The sequence below is a fragment of the Homo sapiens genome, chromosome 8 (assembly GCF_000001405.40).
Source record: "Homo sapiens chromosome 8, GRCh38.p14 Primary Assembly".
Lineage (NCBI taxonomy): Eukaryota > Metazoa > Chordata > Mammalia > Primates > Hominidae > Homo > Homo sapiens.
This window is the reverse complement of record NC_000008.11, coordinates 41,826,211-41,843,630: the sequence shown is the minus strand read 5'-3', so window position 1 is coordinate 41,843,630 and position 17,420 is coordinate 41,826,211. Positions and strand designations below refer to the sequence as shown.

Sequence of the window (17,420 nt, the reverse complement as noted above, 5' to 3'; positions counted from 1 at the left end):
TCCTATCACCGCTATCTGTTTGGCCTTTCCAGGAAGGCCTGAGGAGGCCTCCAGCAGCGGAATGAATCTTCTGATCGCCCCAGCTGCCCTGTCTGCACCATGGACCATGTGCCTGCTGTATGTGCTGGACCAGGGCTGAGAGCATTGCTGCAGGGCCCCCCCTTTAAACACGCATTCAGAAAGAGATAACAGAGACTGGGAGGAGTGTGGGGTGGGCGGGGAGTGGGTGGGGGGGAAATGAAGAGAAGTGGGTGAAAGGGTACAAGTGCACAGTAAGATGGAGCAGATTCAATGTCTGATCGCAGAGCAGGGTGACTATACTTCACAACAATGTATTATACTTGGGTGATGGACACAGGAATACCTTGACTTGATCACTACACATTATATACGTGTAACAAAATCTCTCACGTACCGCATGAATTTGCACAAATAAAAAATTTAAGGCAATGTAAGCATACTTTGTTAAAATATATGAACATTGGCTGGGCGCGGTGGCTCATGCCTGTAATCCCAGCACTTTGGGAAGCCGAGGCGGGCGGATCACCTGAGGTCAAGAGTTCAAGACCAGCCTGGCCAATGTGGTGAAACTCTGTCTCTATTAAAAATACAAAAATTAGCTGGGTGTGGTTTGTGCACACCTTTAATCCCAGCTACTCAGGAGGCTGAGGCAGGAGAATCGCTTGAACCTGGGAGGCTGAGGTTGCAGTGAGCGGAGATCATGCCACTGTACTCCAGCCTGGGCGACAGAAGGAGATCCGTCTCAAAACAAACAAACAAATGAACAACCCCCCAAAAATGTGTTCAGTAATTTTATCTAAATAATCTAAATAATAGATTCACACAGTTCAGTGAAAGCAGCACTCCCCAAATCCACGCCTTCCAATGCCCAGCCCCAGTCCCAAACAAAGCTGCCTTAACTGTTTCTGTGTTTAATTCCCCGGGAGGCCCCTCCACATCTGCACTAATATGCGCTTCCTGTAACCTCCACCACAATGACGCAAGGCAGGCGCTCTTAGAGTCTCCATCTCACAGATGAAGAAACTGAGGCTTACAGGGATATGTGGTTCGCCCATGGTTGCTTGTGCTAAGAAAAGGCAGAGCCAGGGCTTCATTCCAAAAATTTTTTTTTTTTTTTGAGATAGAGTCTCGCTCTGTTGCCTGGGCTGGAGGGCAGTGGCGTGATCTTGGCTCACTGCAACCTCCGCCTCCTGGGTTCAAGTGATTCTCCTGCCTCAGCCTCCCAAGTAGCTGGGATTATAGGCGCCCACCACCACGCCCAGCTAATTTTTTGTATTTTTAGTAGAGACGGGGGTTTCACTATGTTGGCCAGGCTGGTCTGGAACTCCTGACCTCATGATGTGCCCACCTTGGCCTCCCAAAGTGCTGGGATTATAGGCGTGAGCCACTGCGCCTGGCCTCATTCCAGATCTTTACTCGAAAGCCACAGCACTGGTCAGGGAGCAACGCTTTACTTCCTGCCCTGTCCACCCTGGTGCCTCCTGGGGTGCTGCCTCCCTTGGGGTGGCCTGGGTCACAGTCAGAGCAGTGCCTTCTTGCTTCCAGCCAAGGTGTCTCTACAGCCGCTCCTACCACAGAGGCTGCCCTGGCTTCTCTCATCCTTGTCCAGATAAGTGTGTGGGTTTGAACACACGATGCCACTGTCACTCCAGCAACAGGAGCAACAGCAGGATAGAGCTGCACTGGCTGGGGGAGTCCCCACGGCAGGTGACATGAGCTGCTTCTCTGCCCCAGGAGGTGCCTCAGGGTCCTGGCCACAGGTGGTTACCAGTTAGGACCATGTCTCCGGGTTTACCCTTTGAGGAGGAAATAGAGAGAGGGGCAGCCGTCTTGATGTGTGGCGGAAAGGGTCATTTTTTTCCTTTTCCTTTTTTACAGTTTTATTGATATGTAATTGATATACAAAAAAAAACCCCTGTGTGTATTGGATGTATACATTTGATGAGTTTGGACATCTGCACACACCTGTGAAACCATCATTATCATCATGGTAATAGATACATCCATCACTTCCAAAGGTGTCCTTGTATGCCACTGTTTTTTGTTTGTTTGTCTGCTTTTGTGGTAAGAACACTTAGCCGGGGAGTCATCCTCCCAACAAATGCTTCAGTGCTTGGTGCGGTATTGTTTACTGTAGGTAGCATGTTGTACAGTGGATAGCTGGAACTCATTCATCTTGCATAGTGGAAACTTACGCCCATTGAGCAGCAAATCCCCAGCTCTCCCTCACTCAGCCCCTGGCAACCACCATTCTAGTCTCTGCTTTTATGGGTTTGACTATTTTAGTTCCCCGTTTAAGTGGAATCATGCAGCACTTGTTCCTGTAGGCCTGGCTTATTTCACTAAGTGTAATGTCCTCCAAGTTCCCAGTAGGATTTCCCTCATTTTCAAGGCTGAATAATATTCTGTGGTATGGATAGACCATATTTTCTCAATCCATTCATTTACATTGGACATGTGGGCTGTTTCCATGTCTTGGCTGCGGTGAATACTGCCGCAGTGAATGTGGGGCTGCAGGTGTCTCCTGGAAATTCTGATTTTTGTTCTTTCGATGAATACTCAGAAGTGGGACTGATGATGGGTTACACGGTAGATTCGCAGTAATTGCTGAAAGACCCTCCACACTGTTCTCTGTAGCAGCGACACCATTTCTCATTCCCCATCAGTGGATAAGTCTTCAGATTTCTCCATGACCTGGCCAGCACTCCTTGTTTGTTTCAATATGGCCATCCTAACAGGCATGAGGTGAAAGGAAGGATTACCGACGTTTCAAGCGGGCCACTCTTTTCTTGGCGTTGATATACTCTTATGGAATTCAGTTGTATTATGGGTTGCGTGTTTGGGTCCCTGCTCCCAATCCATACATTGAAGCTCTAGTTCCCAGTGTGGCGGTCTTTGGAGACCCCACCTTTGGGAGGTAATTGAGCCATGAGGGTAGAGCTCCCGTGATGGGACTTCTTAGAAGACGAAGAGACACCAGAGCTTCCCCTCTCAGTAGTGTGAGGACACAGAGAGAAGCCAGCTGCCCGCAAGCCAGGGCGACAGCCCTCACCCGGAACCAAATCTGCTGGCACCTGGACCTCTGACGTCCATCCCCCTGAACTGTGAGGAATAAAGGTTTGTTGTCTAAGCCATCAGGTCTATGGTATTTTGTTATAGCAGTCAGAGCTAAGACTAACAGAAATGTGAAAAAAAGAGGTAGGTACAAAATTAAGTAGTATCATTAATGAGTATATATTTTTTATAACACATTGTATTTTTAAAGAGTGTGCCTTTAGTCCCAGTTACTTGGGAGGCTGAGGTGAGAGGATCGCTTGAGTGCAGGAGAACTGGGCTTTAGTGCGCTATGTCAATCAGATGCCCACACTAAGTTCAGCATCAATATGGTGACATCCCGGGAGTGGGGGACCAGCACGTTGCCTAAAGAGGGGTGAACCAACCTGGGTTGGAAATGGAGCAGGTCAAAACTCCTGTGCTGATCGGTAGTGGGATCGTGCTTGTGAATAGCCACTGCGCTCCAGCCTGGGCAATGTAGTGAGACCCTATCTCCTTAAAAAATAAAAATAATTTTAAAAGAAAAAAAAAACAAGTTTAAATCTATAGAAAAATTGCAAAGCTTGTACAGAGAGCTCCCATAAGCCCCATGCACAGTTTCTCTATTGGTAACATCTTCCATGAGTATGCTTCATTTGTTGTAATGAATGAACCAGTGTTGATACAGTTTTATTAACTAGACGTCCATACATTATTCGGATTTCCTTATATTTTTCCTCATGTCCTTTTGCTGTCCTAGGGTCCCATCCAGGATGCCACATGACATTTAGTTGTCATGCCTCTTTAGGTTCCTTTTGGCTGTGACGGTGTCTCAGATTTTCCTTGTCTTTGGCCACCTTGACAGATGACCCCTTGTTTTCTGGAATGTCATTTTGGCTGAGGTGGTTGTCATAAGTCATTGGTGAAGCGGATGAAGTCCCACAGTGGGTGAGGATTTGGGGCTGAATACACTTTCCTGGGCAATGTTTCTGCAAAGGAATTTTTATCCCACCGATATGTGCCTTCCAAAGATATGAAAATCATCTCTAGGGCCTCGGGGAGGCCAAGCCTGTTTCCTGCTAAACACTGTTTCACAGTTTTCTGAGGACAAAAGGGTCTGCTGTGTCTGCTTCACAATGGCCTCTGAGCCCACTGCAGCTTAGGCAGGTGTAATGAGTGGGCGGAGAGTGGGTTTATATCCCAGATCTGCCACCAACAGCCAGGGAACCTGGCTAAGTGACTGGGTTTCCTTATCTCAGATGAAGTAAGGATAACAGTTGGTCCCATCTTAGTTAATGCATGCAGAGTCCTCAGATCATGCCTGGCACAGGGTCAGTACTATCTACCTAGCTCCCATCATTATTATATAAAAGCACCAGTTTTAACTGGAAGTTACTGACACATGGAGGAGACAGGTGAATTTCTCTTTCTGCAGCATGGCTACTAACTGGTGCAGGTGGTACAGTCATTGTTGCATCTTTATTTATTTATTTATTTTTTGAGAAGGAGTCTCACTCTGTCACCCAGGCTGGAGTGCAGTGGTGCCATCTCGGCTCACTGCAACCTCCACCTTCTGGGTTCAAGTGATTCTCCTGCCTCAGCCTCCCAAGTAGCTGAGATTACAGGCATGCACCATCATGCCGTACTAATTTTTGTACTTTTAGTAGAGGCAGGGTTTCACCATGTTGGCCAGGCTGGTCTTGAACTCCTGACCTCAGGTGATCCTCCCACCTTGGCCTCCCAAAGTGTTAGGATTATGGGCATGAGCCACCGCGCCCGGCCTTTATTATTATTATTATTATTATTATTTTTGAGACGGAGTCTTGCTTTGTCCCCCAGGCTGGAGTGCAATGGTACGATCCAGGCTCACCGCAGCCTCTGCCTCCCGGGTTCAAGCGATTCTCCTGCCCAGCCTCCTGAGTAGCTGGGATTACAGGCACGCACCACCGCACCTGGCTAATTTTTGTATTTTTACTAGAGACGGGGTTTCACCATGTTGGCCAGGCTGGTCTCCAACTCCTGACCTCAGGTGATCCGCCGGCCTCGGCCTCCCAAAGTGCTGCAATTACAGACGTGAGCCACCATGCCCAGCCCATTGTTACATCTTTAACAATCACTTTAAAACATAATACAGCAGTCTGGGGCACACGGTAAGTGCTTACTATTAATAAATGTTAGCTTTACTAGTAGAGCATGTTTTACAAATACCCTGGGCTCCTGGCCATCCAGGTTATTCAGGTCCTACAGCGTGGAAACCATTAACTTCAGATGTCCTCAGATGGACTAGCCTTCAAATCCTGGCCACCCTCACACCAGCTGTGTGATCTTGGGCAATTCACCAAACCTTTCTGTGCCCCGCTTTCCCCATCTGTAAAAAAGGATAACAATAGTACCTCCAGTATCCTCAGTGTGAGGATAAAGTGAGGGGATGGGTGTCTGGAGCATGTAAAATGCTCAATAAACAGTGGCAATTTATGTTATTAACATGTCTGTGAGCACTGTCTTTGTAGGCACTGGTGAGGGGGCCAGGGAGGGACCACAAATGGCAGGAGAAGATGGGTGTGTGGAGGAGGTGATGTCTGAGGTCCAGTTACCCCTCCTCTAAAACTCAGGTGGCCAGAGCCTGCCCTGCAGCCTTGGCCATTCAGGTGAATGAGCTTACGGTGTTCACCAGGTGTCATCCCATTAAATTAACATTTTTTTTTTTGAGATGCGTCTCGCTCTGTTGCCCAGGCTGTAGTGCAATGGTGTGATCTCAGCTCACTGCAACCTCTGCCTCCTGGGTTCAAGTGATTCTCCTGCCTCAGCCTCCTGAGTAGCTGGGATTACAGGTGCCTGCCACCACACCCTGCTGATTTTTGTATTTTAGTAGACATGGGGTTTCACCATGTTGTCCACGCTGGTCTCAAACTCCTGACCTCAAGTGATCCACCCACCTCAGCCTCCCAAAGTGCTGGGATTACAGGCGTGAGCCACCATGCCTGGCCTAAATCAACACTTTTTAAGCTCTACCATGTGCATGGACTGGCTAAATGTATTCATACATATTATTTCATTTAATTTTCGCAAATATCCCATTTGACAGGTGGAGAAATGAATGTTCAAATAACCATCCTTGGATCAGGAGGTCACTAATGGTGGACTAGGAAGCCCATGTGTCAGTGTGTTTCCCCCCCAACTCCTGAGCAAAAGGACCACAGCGCAAGTAATAAAAAACACACCATCTTTCGTTATGAAAAGTAGACTGAAATGTACACCAGGGCAGGGACTGCTTCTGTCTTTGTTCACTTTTGTCCCGGAACTGAGTTTGTGAGTGGCACCTAGTAAGTGCTGGATGAAGGTGTGACTATAGAGATTATAGCTATAAAGCTCTCCTGCATTCTTTGTCTCACCTGAGACTTAAAATTACTCTGTGAGAAAGGGGTTGATGATATTATCTCCATTTTACCAGTTAAGGAAATGTACGGGAAAGACACATTTATTGAGGATCTTCTCTCAATGGACGTTTTGCTGGTTTTATCTCATTTAACCAATGCTCATTGCCCTTGGGGGGACGTCACACAACTGCTGACCACAGACCAGGACCCCAGGCCCATGCTCTGCGCAATGCCTTGGAAACCTCTTACCCTCCTTTTGTTTTTTTTTTTTTTTTCCCCAGAGATAGCTTCTTACTCTGTTGCCCAGGCTGGAGTGCAGTGGTGCAATCATAGCTCACTGCAGCCTTCCACTCCTGGGCTCAAGTGATCCTCCTGCCTCAGCCTCTTGAGTGGCTGGGATTACAGGTGTGTGCCACTATGCCTGGCTAATTAAAACAAAATTTTTTTTTTATAGAGACAGGAGTCTCACTATGTTGCCCAGGCTGGTGTTGAACTCCTGGCCCCAAGCAAAGCCTACTAAAGCACAGCAATTACAGGTGTGAGCCACTGCATCCACCTCTTACCCTCCTTTTGAGAGGCCCCTGCCCTCATGGTCCTTAGCCCGGGCTGAGTTTTCGCCGGTTGGAAGCCAGGGCACTGAAGAATGGAACTTGGTCTAGGAGCCCACCACCACCTCAGGGGAGGGGGACCGGGAGCCCGGCCACATTGCTGGGCGGTGTCAAGGAAGGGCCCAGCACGGCTGTGCTCACAGCAGGGTGCCTGCAGCCACAATGAGTTCCTCCTCTCTAGTCACATGGTCCCTGCTATTGCAGACAGGAGACAGAGCAAGAAATCTCTGGAGAATGGAAACCTTGCTCAATGAATGTATGTGACGAATGACTTCCTCTCCCCTCAAACAGCAAGCATGGAGGGGTGTTTTTTCTTTGGGTTGTGAATGAAAATACTGAGCAGTCGGCAGCATTTTGTTGCGACGGGATCTGCAGCAAGAAGGAGGCCACTCTGGCACGTCCCGTGAGATGCTGTGGGTTCTGGGGGACTTCCGGCCTAGTTGGAGTCTCCCAGAGTGGCTGAAGTGACTTGCTGGGGCCTCTGACAGCTGTGTCGTCCCTGAGAGTTCCAGGGGAAGCATCGCCACCCCGACCTGAACATCTGTGCTGGACACGGCCCAGAGAGAGGCTTGCAGACCAGCAGATCAGACCTGAGCCGTGGTCCTTCCGGCTACCCTGCCTCTCCCCCTGCCCTCTCCCCTCCCTGGTGGGGCCTATGGGAGACTCTGGGAGCTTGTGCTGGGCATGAGGGTCCTCCCAGGCGGGGCGACACTGCAGGCTTCTCCGTGACAATGTGCCTGACCCTGAACAACCATCTCAGGTGACAGATGTCTGGGCCATTGTGTAGGCTGGGAGGCAGCACACTTCTGCCAAAGACCACATAGTAAATATTTCAGACTCTGAGGACCACATGTTCTAGGTTGCATCTATTCTTCTGTCTTTGAATCCTTTTCTCAACTATTTAAAAATGTAAAAACCATTCTTGGTGCAGGCTGCACAGAAGCAGCCCTGCGGCCAGTGTGGGCTCTGCTGGCAGCAGCATCCCCTGCTCCCCGCTCCTCCCCTCGCCCCCTCAAAACCTGGATGTTTTCTGCGGAAGCCTCTGTAACAAGGTGACTGCAGCCTCGGCCCGAAGGTCTTTGCAGAATATACGCCTGCTAGCTTTTTTTTTTAATTTAATTTTTATTTTATTTTATTTTTGAGACGGAGTCTCGCTGTGTCTCCCAGGCTGGAGTGCAATAATACGATCTCAGCTCACTGCTACCTCCACCTCCCGGGTTCAAGCGATTCTCCTGCATCAGCCTCTGGAGGAGCTGGAATTACAGGCACCCGCCACCACGCCTGGCTAATTTTTGTATTTTTAGTAGAAACGGGTTTCACCATTTTGGTCAGGCTGGTCTTGAACTCCTGACCTCAGGTGATCCACCTGCCTCAGCGTCCCAAAGTGTTGGGATTACAGGCATGAGCCACCTACCCCGCTTACACCTGCTAACTTCTGCTAAGGGACCCCCGGCCCTCCAATGGCCAGAACACCGGCTTGCTTCTAGGCCTGCGCCCCTTGTAGCTGCTCTGACCTAATTCCTAAGCGCCATCTCGCTGCCTTCAAATCAGACAGTGAGTTGTAGGGAAGCCTCGTGAGGTCCTTTAGCCGTTCTGGGGCAGGATGATGTCCATTCTGGGTCAGGACCCTGCCCCTCCAGCTTCTCCCGGGCAGCGGGGATGATCCCCGCACTGAGTGTGTAATGGCAAGAGGTGAGCAGTAGGCGGCAGCACTGAGCTGTATTTGCTGAGTTCTGTCCTCAACAGGATCCAGAGCTTAGACCCAGCAGGATGTGGCCTTTGCATGCTCATCCCTGGACAGACAGCGATGCTGAGCCCCAGCATGGGACCAGGTGCTCCGGAATCCCTCCCCAGGGCCCCATCTGCTGCATGGCCTCCGCTAAGACTGGGCTATATTCCTGTACTTCTTGTGGCCTCTTCGAAGCCTTCAGGATCTCACTATGGTGACCACCTAAGGCCAGCTCCGGACCCTGAGAACCTCCCTCAGCAGGTCCAGGTCCAGCCGCACCTGTGCAACTGTGGCTGAAACGCTGCGGAGAGGCCAGGCCAGGCTGGAGACCACAGGGCAGGCTCTGTGGTGACTTGTGTCCTGGGTTTAGGGATGGGGTTTGACCGGCCGAGGCAGGTCTTCGGCATGAGCCAGGGGTTTGCAAGAACAAAACCCCAGTGCTGCCTCCGACATGGGCGCCGCGTCATTTGCCTGCTCCTAGCCAGCTTGCTGGTGTTGGGAACCTGAAGCTCATCTTCTCCTGCCTCTTCCTCACCTCCCACATCCTGTTATTCTCCCGAGTCTGCTGGCATTGCCTCCAGGTTTTCTCAATCCTACCCCTGCTTTCTGCCCCGTGGCCATGGCCTATGTGGAGGCCTCGGCAGCCAGAGCCTGGACAGCCTCCTGAACAGCCACCCTCCTCCTGCTGGAGTGACCTTTCCAAAATGCATGGAGGACCCTGTGGCTCTGACCTGCTGGGAGCCCTCCAGCTGCTTGGGACAGGGGGAAACCCCCTGCTGATCATGCTAGGCCTCCATCTGGTGCCCTCTCACCCTCTGATGTCACACCCAAGCCACACCATGTTCCCCATGTACTCCAGCGGTTTCTCACCTCCATGCCTTTATCCACGCAGGGCCCTCTGCCTGAAACCCCGTCCCTCCGCAGCCTCTTCCTGGCTGACCTCTGCTTTTCCTTTCATACTAGTGTCAGGCATGGCCTCGGGGCTCTTAGTCCAATCCTGCAGCTCCTCAGCGCTCCAGGATTCCTGTACTCTGCTGTATGCTTGCCCCGTTGTGGTGGTGGCTGTCCCCTAGAACACGACCTCCTTGAGTGCCAGGATTGTTCTGTACACATCTTAGCAGCCACAGCACCAACACAGAGCCCGGAACACAGTGGTGCCTAATAACTGCCTGTTCACTGATGAATGGATAGGGCCCTTCATCAGGCAAACTCTAGCCCATCTTTGGGACACCCAGGGACAAGGAGATGTCCTAGACTTGTACGGTGACCATTCCCATCTTCGGCTTTCTTTCTTTTCACAACTCCCTTTCCCATGTCTAAGCTAACCTAAATCCCCACGCTTCCGTTTATCCTTGTTGCATCAACCTTGCAGATGGAGACCAGCTGCTTAGCATCTGCTGGAGCTTTTAATATAAATTCTGGACAGATTTTTCCTTTGTTAATGGCAAAATAAAAAGCCCCAGAAAGGAGGCACCACCCCCTTCCCTACATTGCACAGACCCGTGGGTTTCACCACCCCCAGACACCTGCTATCACCACGGGGCACTTGGAAGGTGAAGAAATCCCTGTGGGCCACCAGGGGTGACTGGGGGAGACCTGGGAGGCTGGGCTGGGTGCAGAGTCTATCTAGGGGTCTCTAGGGGTGATCGCTGTGTCCTCTGAGAGGGTCTGATGGGTGCTGGAGGGAGGCCCGGGATGGGCCTGGGGCCTCGCTCCACACAGCCTGCTCAGAAAGAGGTGCTCAGGCTGGTGTGCCTTTCCCTCCCACGCCACCCACATCTGGCTTCTAAGCTCAGATTGTGGTAGGGGTGGGAGTTGGAGAGGGCATGCTGTTTGCCTTTTGTGCCCCTTCCTCAGCACCCCAGGTTGTTTTGGGGCAGGTGTCTTGAGAGTTTGGCTAACAGACCCAGTTCTCTAATTCCCAGGAGATGAGCCAAGAAGCAAATTATCTGGGTGTATGGATCTACAGTTACTGAGATGTAATGGATTACCTTCTGGTGTGGTGACCATAGGCATGCCCCTGTGGGTGGGGACAGAGTTGCCAGATTTAGCAAATAAAAACACATACAAATATTGCACAGGACAGACTTGTATCAGAACGTTATTTATTTTTTATCTGAAATTCAAATGTATTGGGTATCCTGTATTTCCTCTGGGAACCCTCTGGGAACCCTGGGGGATGAGAAATCTCCCTTGCAGGGAGGGGTCACTCCCAGTGTCTGCCTCACAAGAAGAGGGGGTCCTCCCCAGCTACAGGGGACTGGGCAGCTGGCCCTGGTATCAGGGTCACTCCACTTGGCTCTGCTTTCTTGGGTCTTCAGGGCTTTGGGACAGCCTGGGGGTGGGAGAGTGGCTTCTGCTTCACTGGTACTGGCCAGAAGGTGGGCAGGGCATGGAGGAGGGGGTGTTAATATCTGGTTCATTTCCACCCTGCTGGCTGTAAACCTTTAGTCAAGTGAGGGGACGCATTCTGACCTAACATCTGCTGGGCTGTGAGCTGCAAAGGGAAGGGCCTGGCCCGTGCGTGAGGCTGGTGGGAAGTGGCAGTGGGGAGGGAGGTGGGTCCCAGGGAACGTGGGTTAACTTTGGGGACACTTCTCTTTCCCCGTCTCTCCCCTTCTGGTGGGGAGCCATAATGTCTTGCAGGATCTGGGCTTGATTTTTAAAATACTGTCTAGCATTTATTTTAACAATTCACATGCAGTAAAATTCACTTCTCTTTTCATTCAGTCCTGTGAGTTCTGACAAATGCACAGTCATGTATCATCACTATGGTCAAGATACAGACAGATCCATCGCCCCGCAAAATTCTCTTGTGCTGCCCCTCAGTAGGCAAATCCTCCCCGCTTTTCCCACCCCTGCCACCACAGATCTATTCTTCACCCCTGGATTTTCCCTTTTCCCAATTGTCTCCTAAATGGGATCATATAGTCCGAAGGCCTTGCATCCGTGTAGCAGCATGCTTTTGGGATGCACCCGTGTTGCTGTGTGAATCCATATTCGCTCCTTAGTAGCACTCCACTGTACGAGGTGCTGCGGTTGGTCTATTCATTCACACGCTGAGGACGTGTGGGTTGACTCCAGTCTGGGGCGGTGATAAATAAAAATAAAGCTGCTCTGCAAATTTGGGTACAGGTACCTTCTTAATGGTCCTTCCTTCCTTCCTTCCTTTTCTTTCCTTTCATTCCTTTTTTCTTTTTCTTCTTCTTTTTTTTTTTTTTTTGACAGACTTTTGCTCTGCACTGGAGTGCAATGGCGCAATCTTGGCTCACTTGTAACCTCCAATTCCTGGGTTCAAGCAATCCTTCTGCCTCAGTTTCCCGAGTAGCTGGAACTACAGGCATGTGCCTCCACACCCCACCAATTTTTGTAGTTTTAGTAGAGATGGGGTTTCACCATGTTTTCCAGGCTGGTCTTGAACTTTTGACTTCAAGTGATCCGCCCACCTTGGCCTCCCAAAGTGCTGGGATTACATGCATGAGCCACCATGCCCGGCAAACATGGGTTTTCATTTATCAGGTAAATACCCAGGAGTGGGATTGCTGGGTCATGTGCAAAGTATGTTACTGTTAGAAGAAGAAACTCTTGGGGCTTGAGGTATGAGCGCCCGCAGCTGCCCACACTTTTCAGATGATAGCCCCAGATTGCTGAGGGGCTTTCGGTTTTACAGATGGGGAAATGGAGGCCTTGAGAGGTCAGATGACGAGTCCATAGTTTTAAGGAAGGTCGTCGTCAAGGTCCAGGCGGAGCCTCGTCTCCTGTCTCCCAGGCCGCTGTGCTTTCGTCTGTATCTCAGTTCCCTTCATCATCTGTTGCTGCAAGCTTATTCTCATGGGATCCGTTTATGGGACACATTGGGCCACCAACAATTAGCCTCTCCATGCACTGATAAGGAATGTGACCAAAAAGATTAATCCATTTGGTGAGGTGACCAAGTGATTATGTAAACAGCCGTGTTGATGAACAGAATCTATCTTCAAAGGTTATGACAGTATTATACACACAGCCCTCACGCTGGGCATTTGGCTTGATGGAGCTGTCTGCAAAATTATTCTTCAATGATTCATCTACCAAATTATTCTTCTCAGACCTTTTCAAGCAGAACCGACACAGAACTGGTGTCTGCGTTTCTTTGGCACTGGGTAGGTAGGAGCTGTTTGCTTTTCTTACTCGCTTCTGACTCCCTTTGCCTTGGGATTTGGGTCCTATCCCCGAAAGCCCTAGTCCCAGACAACCTTTTCTTTACCTGCTTCAAGCTTAGAATCAAGAGAGCAGTTCCTGACACTCCCTGGGAATCTTGGCTTTACCACAATTCTAGCTTTTGAACATTTCAATGGAGGATTAATTGTTATTCATGCTGTCATTGTTATGTAGGTCATTTTTTCTTTGGATCAAGTTGACGGGATTTTATCATCTGTGGAAAGCAGCCATATACCAGAATGAAGAATACTTTTGATTGATGATTTAGCTTAAAAATAGTTTCCTCTTTTAATAAGCCTCATTCGGGAACAAATGACCCCAGAGGGAAACTGGGTGCTTATCTAGTAGCCTATGTATTTTGCAGAGAATTTCTAGAAATGTGTGTATTTTGAAGAAAAGAAGAGGGGCTTTGGCTGTTTGGTCCTGGAGATGGGTCTAGGAGCCTGGGGTGGGGGCATCTATTGGTCTCTCCTAGCTGACCCCTGCCCAGAGAACTGCAGTGCCCCTTGCCCAAATAAAAGGTATGCCCGAGTGGCTGAGTGGGTGTTTCTAGTTGGATTACTGCAGGCTCAACATTAGATTCACCAAATCATTATTTAGTACTTGCTCTGTGCTGGGCAAAATTTCATTGATGTTATCGGAGGAATATCTAGGCAAAGAGAGGAGACCTCACTTATAAAAACTAAAGGCCTTGTCACGTCAGATTTTTTTTTTTTTTTTTTTTTTTGAGACAGAGTCTCGCTCTGTCGCCCAGGCTGGAGTGCAGTGGGGCGATCTCGGCTCACTGCAAGTTCAGCCTCCTGGGTTCAAGCCATTCTCCTGCCTCAGCCTCCCAAGTAGCTGGGACTACAGGCGCCCGCCACCACGCCCGGCTAATTTTTTGTATTTTTAGTAGAGACGGGGTTTCACCGTGTTAGCCAGGACGGTCTCGATCTCTTGACCTCGTGATCTGCCTGCCTCGGCCTCCCAAAGTGCTGGGATTACAGGCATGAACCACTGCGCCCGGCCCAGATTTCTTTTTAAAAGGCAGTTAGGGATGGCAGTCTTAGACAATGAGCTCCCCTAGTGCCCTTCCAATGGAGAAGCACAACGAGAATCTAATTTGTAAATACCAGGTCTTACACGGTGAGTGGGACTAGGAGAAGGCATCGACTGCACGCTGGGGTCAGTTGCCTGGGAGCGAATCCAGCTCCACTCCCTGCTGTGGCCTTGAGCAAGTAGCACTTAACCTCTCTGAGCCTCTTTCTGCATCTGAAAAATGGGATTGGTCATAAGGTTGCGATGGGCATGTGCCCCCTGAGAAACATCAGTAAGGTGGCAAGGGTGGCGAAGACGCTGTTCCTCGGGTTTTGTTCCAGCGACGAAAGCTAAGTTCATCAAGCCACAAGAAGAAATCTCAGATTTTTTTTCCCCCTAGGAAATGTGAAAATTGAAGGTTTCCTTTGAAGCCTTGTGGCAGAAGCTTCTGAAAGCCGAGTCACAGATCTTGCACAGTGCTGTCCCAAACGCCGCTGATGTGCAAACGGTGGCCCCCGTCCCCGTAGGGAGGCCAGAATGGGACAGCAGAGATTGCGGCAGGGTGTCCGGTGAGCAGGGGACCCTCACGGACCGGTCTAGACGCGAGACTAGGATTTATTTATTAATTCTTTCAACTGCGGCGGTGGAATCAAGATGGCCTAGAGGGCGCCAGGGGGCGCTCTGGAGAGGACGGGCGGCAGATCCGAATGGGCCCCGAGGAGGGCGGCGCCCCGGGTCACGCGCGACTTCTGCGGAACCCGCCTTTGCCGCGCAGTTTTCGGGATTCGCGGGAAGAAGGCGCAGCCTCCCAGGCCCAACTCTCTCCCCAGCACTTTCGCGTGGAAAATCTTCAGGAAAATGAAATGTAGCTCCCCGTATGCCCTCTCCCCAAAGATGTAAAGGACTCTGGAGCGGGCGCGAGGAGCAGTTCCTGTTTCATTACGAGCGCCCCCTCTCCAGCCCGGTCATTGTAGTGCGAACCAGAACAATCAAATTAACAGAGGCACTCAGGAGCCTTTTAGTGCTACTGTTCCAGGAACTGAAGAGGCCTCGGTATGGGAATCCCCACAGAGTAATAAACAGCACGTGGTTGGAGCGCCGAGGAGGAGACTCGCTCCACCTGGTGGCGGTGATGTCCTCTCGGAGGAGGTGGCAGGACACAGAGGCTGGCGGCCACAGACGGGATCTGTAATTCAGTGCCCGCCATCACGTACCTCGGCCTGGCCCTGTGCAGCTTGGAAGCTGGAGACGGAGAAGGTGGAAAATGAGAGTTCATGGAGTGTCGGGCCTAAGCTGAAGGAGGCGGCGCTGCACGCACAGACGAAGGAAGGCGGCCCAGGGCGGCTGCTTGGTGTGGAGGCCACAGCCCAGCACGGGCGGAGCGGGGCGGAGCGGGAGGATGGGCGGGAACGGCGCTGGGTGTTCCTGCTTCCTCCTCTAGCTCGCAGCCTTTCATAGGAAATTAAACATTCAGCACTGGAGGACCGACCGGGAACTCCATCATTTTGATTCCAACCTGGTGCCCAGGGTCTGGAATCAAAATCCCTGAGCGCTCGCGGCCCTGGGGCGGGGCTGAACCCTGAATGATCTTAGTCTGTTTTAATAGGAGAGTTGCAAACAGTGGGGGCTTCCTCTTTATTGCTTGGGCAAGGGTGTGTGTGTCGGGGGTTGGGGGGCGGGGGCGGTGTGTATCTGTGTATGCATGTGTGAGTGCGTGTGTGTATGTGGGTGTGTGCACGTGAGTGTGCATGTGTGGGCGTGAGCATGTGTGTGGGGTGTGTGAGTGGGTGTATGTATGCGTGTGTGCATGTGTGAGTGCGTGTGTGTATGTGGGTGTGTGCGTGAGTGTGCATGTGTGTGGGCGTGAGCATGTGTGTGGGGTGTGTGAGTGGGTGTATGTATGCGTGTGTGGATGTGTGTGAGTGTGAGTGGGTGTGCGTGTGAGTGTGTGTGAGTGTGTATATATGAGGGGATGTGTGTGGAGATGGGTAGGTATTCGAGTGTGTGTGTGTATGTGTGTGAAGAAATAGCCTTTGTAAAACCAGGTCAAAAAATACCTTTTATTACTTTAATGTTATAAAATAACTGTAGTTAACTTGCAATCCTGTCTAACCTACATTTCCTTTTAAAGGCCATTACATTTTGTTTTATTTTAAAGCTGTGAAGATAGTATGTGGAGAGTTTGCATCTCATTATTTCTTCATTTGATGCTTGACTAATTCAGGCCCTAAATTCCAACTCAGAGAGCAGTCTAAGACGCTCGCAGTCCTGTGTGGGTGCATCTTGGCCAGCTACTCTGGCGGAGGCATACATCTCATTCACACCAGCAAGGGGAAAGGCTGGATTAGGAAAACGCAAGATGTGAGTCCTGTACTTTTCTTACAAGTGTTGCTACCATTAGATGGGTATTTATTCCTGGCTCCCAGCAACCTTGTCTGAGAATTTTCACTTTTGCATAGAAACAAAAAAAGGGTAGGGGAATATGGAGCTCAAATAATGTGAAGCAATCTGAAAATCAGCAAATATTACTGAGCACTACTATGTGTAAGACAAGGTTGCTGATTATTAAGGGCTTATATTATTACCAGCAACAGAAAACCAATTCTCAAAGTCATTAGAAAAGACAATAGATCAAGCAGTGAATTATGCAATCTGTGCAGCAAAGGCTAAACATATTGACAGGAACATACATACAGACCAGAATTATTAGGCAAGGCTTTACGGGATGGAGAATTAAAGGCAGGGAAAGATTTAGATGGATGGAGGGGAGGAGAGGGGAATTTGAAAACTCACATGGAGATCCAAGGATAAGAGCAGAATGTTTATTGTTACGACAAGGCTAGAAAAAAAAATGAAGGGTACAAAATATTATGCATGGTATAATTCCAGTTCTGGGAAAACATGTATTATTCATGTGCAAAGAAAAAAGACTAAGCAAATGCATCAAAATGTAAATCATGTTTAGGATGTGATAGATTATGGGTGATTTTTAGTTTCCTCTTTTTACTTTTTGGTATTTCCTATTTTCAATGAAATGATTTATTCTTATCACTAGAAAAGAAAATGTTGTTCCTTATTTGGAGAAGGGCCGGCTGAGGTGCTGGTGGGACGGTGGGACGCTCAGCACACAGTGAGCCTGGGGTGCAGGGGAATCCAGAGGCCCAGGCAGCAGAGACAGAGGGCAGGGGATGGTGCTAAGCCAGGGAGTGGGTGGTGTAGGCTGTCTTTGAGACCTGGGCAGCAGGAGTGAGCATGGTGACCTGAGGAGGAAGGGACCAGCTCTGAGGTTACATCAAGGTGGCAGAGCTCCCACCTTTCCTACAGCCCCAGCCTGTTTTCTCTGGGGACAGTTACAGTGAGTAACTTAGACCCCATGGGGTCATAGACAATCAGCAATGGGCCAGAGTAGCCTTTTCTAGAAAAATAGGGCAATTG

At 50.0% G+C, this 17,420-nt stretch overlaps 1 protein-coding gene and 1 pseudogene across 1 annotated transcript in view, besides 8 other annotated features; both read left to right on the top strand.

The window, feature by feature from the left end:
- Window positions 1–17,420, top strand: part of ANK1 (ankyrin 1) — a 243,517-nt gene that overhangs the window by 53,111 nt on the left and 172,986 nt on the right. The window lies entirely within an intron of this gene.
- Window positions 1,035–1,534: an enhancer, noted in NCBI's record as "H3K27ac hESC enhancer chr8:41699615-41700114 (GRCh37/hg19 assembly coordinates)". NCBI's record gives its function as "activates a minimal SCP1, AML or CMV promoter by ChIP-STARR-seq in primed H9 embryonic stem cells {active_cell/tissue: H9 hESC(primed)}" and the evidence as "EXISTENCE:reporter gene assay evidence [ECO:0000049][PMID:30033119]".
- Window positions 1,535–2,036: an enhancer, noted in NCBI's record as "H3K27ac hESC enhancer chr8:41699113-41699614 (GRCh37/hg19 assembly coordinates)". NCBI's record gives its function as "activates a minimal SCP1, AML or CMV promoter by ChIP-STARR-seq in primed H9 embryonic stem cells {active_cell/tissue: H9 hESC(primed)}" and the evidence as "EXISTENCE:reporter gene assay evidence [ECO:0000049][PMID:30033119]".
- On the top strand, window positions 3,292–3,572 carry RN7SL149P (RNA, 7SL, cytoplasmic 149, pseudogene; annotated as a pseudogene).
- Window positions 8,350–9,079: an enhancer, noted in NCBI's record as "H3K4me1 hESC enhancer chr8:41692070-41692799 (GRCh37/hg19 assembly coordinates)". NCBI's record gives its function as "activates a minimal SCP1, AML or CMV promoter by ChIP-STARR-seq in naive H9 embryonic stem cells {active_cell/tissue: H9 hESC(naive)}" and the evidence as "EXISTENCE:reporter gene assay evidence [ECO:0000049][PMID:30033119]".
- Window positions 9,080–9,810: an enhancer, noted in NCBI's record as "H3K4me1 hESC enhancer chr8:41691339-41692069 (GRCh37/hg19 assembly coordinates)". NCBI's record gives its function as "activates a minimal SCP1, AML or CMV promoter by ChIP-STARR-seq in naive H9 embryonic stem cells {active_cell/tissue: H9 hESC(naive)}" and the evidence as "EXISTENCE:reporter gene assay evidence [ECO:0000049][PMID:30033119]".
- Window positions 14,746–15,405: an enhancer, noted in NCBI's record as "active region_27295". NCBI's record gives its function as "activates an Ori minimal core promoter by ATAC-STARR-seq in GM12878 lymphoblastoid cells {active_cell/tissue: GM12878}" and the evidence as "EXISTENCE:reporter gene assay evidence [ECO:0000049][PMID:35858748]".
- Window positions 14,746–15,649: a biological region, named in NCBI's record as "H3K27ac-H3K4me1 hESC enhancer GRCh37_chr8:41685500-41686057".
- Window positions 15,092–15,649: an enhancer, noted in NCBI's record as "H3K27ac-H3K4me1 hESC enhancer chr8:41685500-41686057 (GRCh37/hg19 assembly coordinates)". NCBI's record gives its function as "activates a minimal SCP1, AML or CMV promoter by ChIP-STARR-seq in primed H9 embryonic stem cells {active_cell/tissue: H9 hESC(primed)}" and the evidence as "EXISTENCE:reporter gene assay evidence [ECO:0000049][PMID:30033119]".
- Window positions 15,246–15,540: an enhancer, noted in NCBI's record as "tiled region #9883; K562 Activating DNase unmatched - State 1:Tss". NCBI's record gives its function as "activates a minimal TATA promoter and a strong SV40 promoter by Sharpr-MPRA in K562 cells {active_cell/tissue: K562}" and the evidence as "EXISTENCE:reporter gene assay evidence [ECO:0000049][PMID:27701403]".